The 10,548-nt window shown below is 45.8% G+C and overlaps 1 long non-coding RNA gene across 1 annotated transcript, besides 1 other annotated feature; it reads right to left on the bottom strand.

The window, feature by feature from the left end:
- Positions 1-524: 524 nt before the first annotated feature.
- On the bottom strand, positions 525-10,537 carry LINC02376 (long intergenic non-protein coding RNA 2376). Its single transcript, NR_146537.1, has 4 exons — positions 10,396-10,537; positions 9,490-9,890; positions 1,703-1,828; positions 525-775 (listed from the first exon to the last, which is right to left on the bottom strand). It is a non-coding gene; the product is annotated as a long intergenic non-protein coding RNA 2376 (long non-coding RNA).
- Positions 7,129-7,188: a silencer, noted in NCBI's record as "silent region_5085". NCBI's record gives its function as "represses an Ori minimal core promoter by ATAC-STARR-seq in GM12878 lymphoblastoid cells {active_cell/tissue: GM12878}" and the evidence as "EXISTENCE:reporter gene assay evidence [ECO:0000049][PMID:35858748]".
- Positions 10,538-10,548: the final 11 nt, after the last annotated feature.

Raw genomic sequence — 10,548 nt, forward strand, 5'->3', positions numbered from 1 at the left:
GACATAGGGTTTTTACATGGTGAGTCAGGTAACCTCTGCTCAAACAAGGATTTAGACTAAGGTGTTTCTGGCTCCTGAGCCCTCCCTCCTAACTGTCTCTCATGCATGCATCTTTGTGCTGTTCTGCTTTAGTAGTTTAGGATGGATTCATCAGAATGGAATTACTGAGTTTTTGTGCCTGTGTACATAACATTTTTTTTTTTTGAGACAGAGTCACCATGCTGGAGTGCAGTGGCATGATCTCAGCTCAAACTGCAACCTTCGTCTCCCAGGTTCAAGAGATTCTCCTGCCTCAGTCTCCAAGTAGCTGGAATTATAGGCGCACGCCACCACACCCTACTACTAAATATTTTTGTATTTTTAGTAGAGACGGGGTTTCACCATGTTGGCCAGGATGGTCTTGATCACTTGACCTTGTGATCTCCCCACCTCGGCCTCCCATAGTGCTGGAATTACAGGTATGAACCACCACGCCCAGCCACATAACAGTTTTATAGGTACCACTGCACACACTGATATGACAATTTACATCATCTAACAATGTTTTATTTGCTTTCTGTATGTGTGTGTGCACATGTGTGTGTGTGTTTTCTTGTTTGTTTTATATGACAATGAATTTTCTTTGCTCTAGCAGATGTCTCCTCTCTGGGACATAAGGTGAAGGTCCAGGGGACGGGTGAGGCCGTCCTAACCCAGGTGGTGATGCGTGTGCTCCAGTAGGGCAGGGTCCCCGTCTGACACACTCTCCCCTCCTTCCTTTGCATTTATCCAGTTCCTGGCACACAGATAAAATTCAATAAATATTTTCAGAATAAAACAGCTGATTCTAACAGATAATCTTGGGGGTGACTTCTGTGGGCAAAATGCTTTTTTTTTCCTGGAAGTATTTCCAGAAAAATCCTATGCAGCAAGCCAAAACCCCTCCTTTGGAACTGCATAAGTCAGTCCAGTGGGGCACGATTCTTATAAAGGGATGGCTTCATATTGATCATTCTGAACGTTACAGGGAAGTGACTTTAACTAGAAAGTTGCACATGACCGTGAAGCCTAAATGAGGATGTCAAATCTAGGGAAATAATCTAATTGCAATACAGCATCCGAATCTTTTGGAGACATCAAATTATTGCCCAAGTCCTCTCAAAGCTCTTACAAATATAACTTCATACTTTTGGAAAAAGTCAAACAGAATTAAATGTAGACAAATCGTTAGTTATATATTTGAAAACTCTATTCCTACTATGAAATTAGTAACTTGTTAAGAAGACCAGAGTAGCTGTTAAGTAAAGGAGCCGGCTAGCAATCATTTAATAAGATGATTAAACTCTACTTCTTTGTCACACTTGCTTCTGGGCAAATGGAGTAGACGGGTATGAAATAACAAGACTAGAATCTTTTAGTTGAATATTCCAGATATCAATGAAAAAAATTAATTTAAAACCAACTTACAATGTAGATCAAGTGGATTTGCATACCAATCCAAGGAAAAAACCCTAGTTGTAAATGGCATGCTTAACCATAGGTAAAGAAATGCACAATTAGAAAAGTAATTCAGGGTGAAAAAAATCCGATTTCTGTATCAATGCGCAGATATGGATAAATGACAAAGTTTCCTTCAAAACAGAGCCTTATTTTCGCTCATTGTTCTGTGCAGTTTTCAGAGAAGGAGAGGCAGATTCCCTGATATTCTTCTGGAACCACTCACCTAGCAGAGAAAATTGTTTGCCGGAGTAATGTTCATCAGCTGCTACTCTTCGAAGAGCCAGTGTTGATGCTGCAGCTGCCACAGAAAACCAGGCAGATGTGGTCTCAGCCCTCAGGGCTTCATACTCTGCATAAGATGCAGAAGTAAATAGGAAGTCATTAAAATGAGCAAAAAACAATACGATGGCAAGAGCAAAGTGTGTAGCAAGACAGGGAAGCACCATTAGCTCTGAATCATGTACTCTGCCCCACTATTGACGGGCATCAGAACCTCAGGCAGGTGTCTTCACTTCTCCATGACTCAGTTTCTCCACCATAAAATGAGAGGCACCATATTTTCTACCTCATAGGAGGGGTGTGAAATTTAAGTGAATCAATTATTTGAAATGTGCTTAAAATAGCAGCAAAGATAATCTATTGTATTAGTCAGGGAATCTAAACCTTAGTATTCACAACGTCAAGATGACAATGGCTCGATACGATAAAACTTGTTTTGGTTTGTTTGTGTCTCATTCACCCATTAGTCCACTGTTACTATTCCTAGTCTGAGGGTTTTGGGAGGTGCTGCTTTCTTCCTGGTTCTGGGGAGGTAAGAAAGCTCCTTCCACCCACCAGCCATAGATAAGAGAAGAGGGCAAGGAGGCAGTAAAGCATGGGGTGGGGGGTGGCCCCATGGAAAGTTTTAGGACCCAAGCCTAGAAATAGCAGGCATCACTCACACCATTGTCCACTGGCTAGAACGCAGTCACATGACAACACCTAGCCACAAAGGAGGCTGGGAAATGAAGTCCACCTGTGTGCACAGAAGAAAGAAATGGGTTTGTGAACATACAGCATCCCTGCAAAGGCTCTCCACAGATAAGAGCTATTGATGCTTTATATCGAATATCACATCCATTGTTATTGTTATAGGACATATGTATCACATAAGTACACATGAATATATATATACTCATATATGTATATACTCATATATATAACCATATATATATTCACAGGCCTATATATATCTGAAATACACACACACACGTATATATTACATATTATATACACACACACACACACACACACACACAACTGACCATTGAACTACATGGGTCTGAACTCATGGGTTCTCTCAGACCGTGGATTTTATTCTGTCTCTGCAACCCCTGAACAGTAAGACCAACTCCTCCTCTTCCTCCTCCCCCTCAGTCTACTCAATATGAAGTCGATAAAGATGAAGACCTTTCTGATGATCCACTTCCACTTACTGTATAGAAAACATATTTTCAGCTGGGTGCGAAGGCTCACACCTGTAATCCCAGCACTTTGGGAGGTGGGCGGATCACGAGGTCAGGAGATCAAGACCATCCTAGCCAACAAGGTGAAACCCCGTCTCTACTAAAAATACAAAAATTAGCTGGGCGTGGTGGTGCATGCCTGTAGTCCCAGCTACTCGGGAGGCTGAGGCAGGAGAATCACTCAACCAGGGAGTAGGAGGCTGTAGTGAGCTGAGATCGCGCCACTGCACTCCAGTCTGGGTGACAAGAGTGAGACTTCATATAAAAAAAAAGAAAAGAAAAGAAAAGGAAACATATTTTCTCCTTCTTACGATTTTCTTAATAACTCTTTCTTTTCTCTAGATTACTTTAAGAATACAATTTATCAAAGCCAGGCACAGTAGCTCATGCCTGTAATCCCAGCAGTTTGGGAGGCTGAGGCAGGCAGATCACTTGAGGCCAGGAGTTCAAAAGCAGCTGAGCCAACATGGTGAAACCCTCTACTAAACATACAAATATTAGCCAGCGGGGATGGTGCATGCTTGTAATCTCAGCTACTCAGGAGACTGAGGTGGAAGAATTGTGTGAACCCAGGAGATGGAGGTTGCAGTGAGCTAAGATCGTGCCACTGCACTCCAGCCTGGGCAACAGAGCAAGACCCTGTCTCAAAAAATGTATATATACATATATCATACATATAGCATACAAAGTATGTGTTAACAGACTTTTGATGTTATCCTTAAGGCTTCTGGTGAATAGTAGGCTATCAGTAGTTAAGTCTAGGGGGAGCCCAAAGTTTTATAAGAATTTTGGACTGGGTAGGGGTCAGTCCCCTAACCTTCACTTTGGTCAAGGGTCAACTATGTGTGTGTGTTGACACACACACACACACACACACACACACATCACATGACTCAAGCATGGATAGCAGGAAGGGTTTCCAAGACAGATGGATTTGTCTAAGAGGAGACATGATTAATGAAAAGGCCTTAGGAGTGGGGGTGTGGGGAGCATGCCTTCTTGTTAAAGGGACGTCTGTGAGAAGACCCAGAAGAAATAGGAAAAAGTCACTTGTGGGAGGGACTGAGAAAACTTCAGTCTGGCTGGAAAGAAAAGTCAGGGAGCAAGAAGGAGATAATAGAGACAGATCATGAAAATATTTTACCTTAAACTCTTGGAGATGGGTGAGGTGGCTGCAGGGAGGATGCGGGGAGATACATGACTAGATTGAGCTCTAAGTTGCCCTGCATGGCTCCTGGTGGAGAGTGGGGCGGTGGTGGTGGGCCAGAACTCAGCAGCCCAGCTCCAACACCAGTGCCCTTGATGACGTGGCAGGAGGAGGGTTTGTGAGCAGAAGGGAGACCTGGGGAAGCCCCAGGGAACCCAGTGATCTGTGTCCTGTGGGGAGGATGAGAGTTGAGACCACAGATACGTGACCTGGACCTCAAAAGGAAACCAGGGCAGTAGGGTCCCAAAGCCACAGGAAGTCAGGCTTCCAGGGGAGGAGCGGTGGCCGGCAGGGATGCTGCTGAGGAACCAGGTGAGATGCATATTGGACTTGGGGACCCGGTAGTCCTTGGCTGCCTGTTAACACCAGCTGGCCTTAGAGACTGATGGGGCCAGAGAATGTGGTAGAGGAGGAATGAGAGGGGTGAGGATGTGAAGGGGCAAGTACAGAGGTTCTTTTTTGAGCCTGGGATATTAGTGGGGAGGTAGGGCACTGGCTTCAGGGGGAAAGTCCTAAATTGGGGCTGGATCTCCTGCAGGCAGGACCCAGAGAGGTTGGCGCCGTCCATGCGGGGAGCCCCATCCTTGGTCCTTGGCCCTGACTGCTGAGATGGAAATCTATGTGACTGATTCCACAGGTCTGACTGCTCCCACCCAGCAGGGTCATGCCAGTAGACTGAGGTTCCTCTGTGATGCTTGCCTCCCAGAGCTCAGAGTGGAGTATGGCTTAGGTCTCAGGACCAGCAGCACCCTCAGCACTGGGCTAAGGACACACTGTTTAGACAGATCTGGACAGATCACAGTGAACATTAAGGAACTATTTTCCTGGCATCTGGTCTTCCCTGGATTCTTAGTGGCTCGTTTGTTCTCTGTGATTTTTATCAGTCAGAGAAGTAAGAGGAAAACATAAACGAAAGGAAAAAGGAATCAGCCCATAAGGGAATGGGCTAGGTTTCAGCAACTCACTTGGGAGATGGCTGGCTCACCATTCCCCAACTCCCACCTCATTCTCTCTGCTCCTGCATCCACTTTAATGCATAATTTATGGATGCGATTAACAGAAACCAATCAAGCAAGGTATGCATTCAGTGCTGTGTTTAACAACAGATGTTTCCAGAGGTGATTATGTTAGAACAATAATACACACACACGCGCGCGCGCGCACACACACACACACACACACAGTGCCTGATCATCAGTACTGTGTTATGAGTGGTAACAAGACTGATGGCTTCACCAATAAAACTTCCAGAGCAGGAGACTTGGAGAAATGAGCTTAGTGGCTACTGTTGGTGCCAATTATCTTCTTACTGTAGAATAAGTCTTTCTCATGCTTTGTGCCTCAGTTTTTGTTTTTTACTCCCAAGAAGCTGACATCTTAGGAAATTGTTCTGGGAGAAGAGAGGCATTTTTCAGGCCATTGTAAGAGGCTTCAGGTTCCACTCGGCTCTAGGACGGGGATTCACCCCCCCTGGCTGAATTCCAGCTGCTCAGACATTACAGTGCAGCTCAGTGAGCTGCTGTGTTCTTCCAATCCTCCTACAGAGTCGCAGGGTTATTCCCGGGTAAGAAAGGTGGGTCCGAGTCCTCCCACACCACAGCATCTGCAATAGGATTCTGTGCATATGTCTACGTCACCCAGCCCTTTGGCTTCCTCATCAATAAGAGCAACTCTTGCTAGAGACCGTTGTGAAAGGTACAGGGATTCACGCAGATGAGGCATTAGGCAGAGCACCCAGCCTGAAGCAAAGTCAGCTGTGTCACTGTCATCATTTTTGGGAAGCTTCTTATAACCACTCCCTGAGTTCCCACTAGCAAGGGGAGGCAAGACCCCAACATTTTCATCCGTGATTAAACTGGCTGGAGACAGCAAGTAGAGTTCCAGCTCAGACCTCAAATTCACAAAAGACCCCAGAAGGGGGTGCTTCTGGTCCTGCACCACATTTACACTTTTGATGTTGTCTCCGAGGGAGCCTACAAGTCCACTAACAGTCATGCAGGGGCCCGGCATGGTGGCTCACATCTGTAATCCCAGCACTTTGGGAGGCTGAGGCAGGCAGTGGATGACCTAAGCCCAAGAGTTCGAGACCAGCCTGGGCAACATAGCGAGATCCCATCTCTACAAAAAAAAAAAAAAATTACAAAAACTAGCCGGGTGTGATGGTTCAGGCCTGTGGTCCCAGCTACTTGGGAGGGTGAGGTGGGAGGATCTCTTGAGCCCGGGAGGTTGAGGCTACACTGGGCAGATATCCCATCACTGCACCCCAGCCTGGGTGACAAACTGAGACCCTGTTTCAAAACAAAACAAGGGTCATGCAGAAAAGGCTGCTCAAAAACACCTTCCCGGCCACTCTACATGTGACCATCACAGGATCGAATCTCCCGTTGAAATTAGTATTCTCAACTCATCTCAACATCGGAACGTTTGCAGTTTAAAAGCATTCATTTGTTCATTGTGAGCAGCTAATACATACCACATATTTTGACATCTGATTTTGGCAATTCTTTACTTATTTGAAGGGGACCCTGAATAGAAATACAGAACAATAACCTAACGAAAACACTATTTCTGATGGCTGGTCCTCTCGTTACCACCAGGAAGCTCTGCCAGGACACTCCACTGCCGGGAGGGGTGCCTAGGAACGAAGAGCAGAGGGGCCAGTGAGGTCCTGCCACGCCCTGCTGAGTTCTACGTGCTTGCGCGCTTCTTCCTCGGGAGAGCTTCCACTGATTTAATTGGATATGGGGATGGAGAGAGGAAACAGAAACAGGGAAAGAAGTGAAAAAGGGAAGGACGGGGCGCGCGCGGCAGGGGGGCAGGCGGCCTGGTGCAGGTGCATCCCCAGGTGCGCGCCACGCCCCTGCGGGACCCGGCGGCACCGCGGTGCGTTCCCAGCCGCCGGCGCTAGAGGGCGTGTCTGCGGAAAGACTCGCTGCGCTGGCCCAGGCTCCACGAGGGGCCGACAGGGGGCGCTCTGCACAGGGACCGGAGGGAGCGGGAGCCGAACTTGCGTGAGAGGCGCGGGGCCACCCGTGCAGGTGTAGGTGGAGCCACTCTGCCAACCCCTGGGCACTGGGCAGGGCTGGAGGGAGGATTGCCCTGTGCACAGGTGGAAGACATTTCACCTCTTACAAATCCTGAGGGCGCTTTTGCTTGTTTAAGGGAGTTTGGGAGACAGTGTTGCAAAGGGTCCAGTAATAGTTGCAGAATCATTTCTCAGGATGTCTTAGAGTCAGGAATCCCTGAATTTGAATCTCAGCTCTGCCCTTCACTGTGCAATTGTGGACAAGGGAATTCACGGTCTGAACCTCAGTTCCCTCCACCCCTAAAATGGGGATAATGAGCGCGCCTAAGTCACAGGGTTGGAGTGAGGATTAAATGAGATTCTGCACCTGCAGGTAGCACACAGAGCAAGGTATCTGCTACATGATAAATCCTCAACTTTTAGCTGCCTACTCATTATTATTAATATTACTATATTTTTATGACTATGACTATATGATTACTATTACTACTTTTACTATATTATTGTGTTGATACATCAGGCTGTTTGGCCATTCTAGATGCTTAGCTGAAAAGAAAAGCTTTTTCTACTTAGAAGAGCAGTTCCCAAACTTTTTGGTCTCACAGCCCCTTTACATTCTTGAAAGTTATTCAATAATCCAAAGTGCTTTTATTTATGTGGAATTTACACCCCGTGCCACTGAATTTAAGCCCATTCAAGTCCATGTGGTTAAAATGTTTTTTTGTGAACAGAATATTTAGATAAACATTCAAGATTCCTGGCTGTTTTTCTGTTTCCTACATGAAAGAAAAAGAAAAGCCAACTTTCTCATAGGATATTCTCAGAAGGCTGTGGGGCCCCAAGAGCCCTGGGCTGGAAGGCAGGAGGCCTAGGCTCAGATTCTGACTCTGTCCTTGTCTCACTGTGTGGCCTTAAGCAAGGTGCTTGCCTCTCTGAGTCTTGGGTGTGCCATGTTCTGAGGCACATCCAGCTGTGAAAAGGCAGGTGTCTGGTTCTTTGTCATCTATTAGAAGAGTGTCATTCACACTGATGCATGGATCTGAAGGAAGGAGACCCCCACACACACATGACTTGCCAACCCAAAATCACCCCCAAAGGAGGATATGAATTCACGAAGTCCAGGTTTGACTCTAGGCTCAGCCATTACCACATGCATGACCTTGGGAAAGTCAGTCCTCATTCCTGCCCCAGGGTTCAGCTTAACTTGACAGGTAGTGGGGCGATATGATGACCTTCAAACTTGTACCTTCAGCTGGAATTTCAGACTGAACACTGTGGGGTTAGAGGTGACCAGAGGCATCTGTCAGCTGGACCTTGAGTCGAGGCCTTTTCTGGTCACCAGGGGTTGTGCTCTGACACTTAAGTTTTGTGGGGGAGACTGCACCGTATTGTTTGTTTCCAGGCTATAGTTAGCAGGAATATGCCTCCTTCCTTCCCTGGGACCCCTTCTAGGCTGAGCAAGGCCACAGTACCTCCTGGAAGGGCACTTGGTAACCTGTGACTTAGTCCACATCCTAACTCGACCACTCTTGAGCTGTGTGATGTTGATCTAACAGCCAAACCTCTCAGCCTGTCTTTCCTCAACTGCGAAATGAGGATGTTAAGTCTTCAAATTAAAGTGAGGAACATCATTCATGAAACGTCCACCACACTCCCTTGCTGTGCCAGTGCTTGAGGGGAAATATCTCACTGAGGCTTCTCAATAGTATTTATGAGTGAGGTGCTTTGATTTGTTCTATTTTACAGATGCAGAAACTGGGGCGCCGAGAGGTTAAATCACTCATCTGGAGACACACAGCCAGGGAGGATAGTAAGCAGCCAGGATCCAAGCCCACATCCATAGGACCTGAGGCTACAGTGTACCATCCCTCACCTGCTCCCCACTGTGCTTCATAACACCAGGTGCAGAGGACAGTGGGGCCAGAGGCGGTGGTGGATAAGAAGTGACTAGGATGAGGATGTGAAAAGGGCAAATATTCACTTGCCTCTCTTGTGACATATTCACATACCATAGAAAGCTATTTCTCCATCTCTAGCTCCTCAGAGAACTTTCTGTGGAATTGTAATGCATGTCCTTGAAAAAGTGCAGGCAGCTGAAATGCATGACAGTTGAAGCACTTGGATCTCATTGTCAGACTGCGCATTTTCTAACCGTGAAGGGCTTTCTCGGTTTAGAGACTATTAGTTCAAACTCTAAGTAGTCCATTTATTTTGCTCAGAAAACTGTAATGCATTTCCTAAATTTCCTCTTCTGAGGTTTAAAAATAACCTACCTTAGCAGCAGACATCAATTCCTTTAAATCAGTTCCTGCTTGATCATCCAGGTTGTCTCTTTTCCGGATTCACTTTACGTATCCTAGTCCAAGTCACCCCTCTCTGCCCCCCACAGTGTTACTATCAAGAAGGGGGCCAGGCGAGGGTGTCAGACTTCCCTGGCTGTAGACAGGGATCAGATCTGTCATTCTCTGTCATGTGTGACTTGGCCTATGCTTGTGGATGTGGCTTTACTAGGTTCATTGAGATTGTTTATTTCTTCTTTTAATTTTTGAGCTTATTATGAATGGTTTTAGACTTTCCTGAATATCTACATTTTTATCCAGTCTGTTAACATTTTCTGATATTCTTCACTCTTTTGAGATAATTTTAAGGAATTTTTGTCTTTGTCCTGATGAACCTGTAGGATAGAACTTTTGCTATTTTCTAGTGACTATGTTGCTTTTTGAATATCAGCCTTAAACACACATTGACCCATAAACACACCTTGAATCCAATCAGTGGGTTTCTCTCTTTCTAGTTATTTTTTGAGTAGCTCTATCTTTAGGAAGAAAATAAAAGAAAAGAAAAAGCAAGGAGGGAAGAAACGAAGGAAGAAAGGAAGAAAAGAAGGAAGGAAGGAAGGAAAGAAGGAAGGAAGGAAGGAAAGAAGGAAGGAAGGAAGGAAAGAGAAAGAGAAAGAAAAGAAATAAGCCAACAAATTCTTATAGTTTGCTGCCAAATTCAGTGTTTCTAAGGTTTTGAAGACCTGGGGTGACTTCAGGTTTTTTTAGACTTTTTAAATCAATTCGTAATTTTCACGGATTTTGTTATTCTTCAATTTGGGAAGAACAAAAACCTTTTGATGACTTCATTTCCCCTCTTCACATCCTGCTTGCTTATTATGAAAACAAACAACGCAATACCATCATCTCCCCATGAAACCCAGCATGACCTGGGCCTTGCTTAAATCTTCAGGCACCACCACAGACTTGGTCATCTCCAGAAGGAGCTGAAGTGAAGAAGCCGGCAGCCAGCAGTCCCTCCATGGGGCCAAAGGCTCTTGCAGCTCCACCCCG

Source organism: Homo sapiens, chromosome 12, assembly GCF_000001405.40.
Source record: "Homo sapiens chromosome 12, GRCh38.p14 Primary Assembly".
Lineage (NCBI taxonomy): Eukaryota > Metazoa > Chordata > Mammalia > Primates > Hominidae > Homo > Homo sapiens.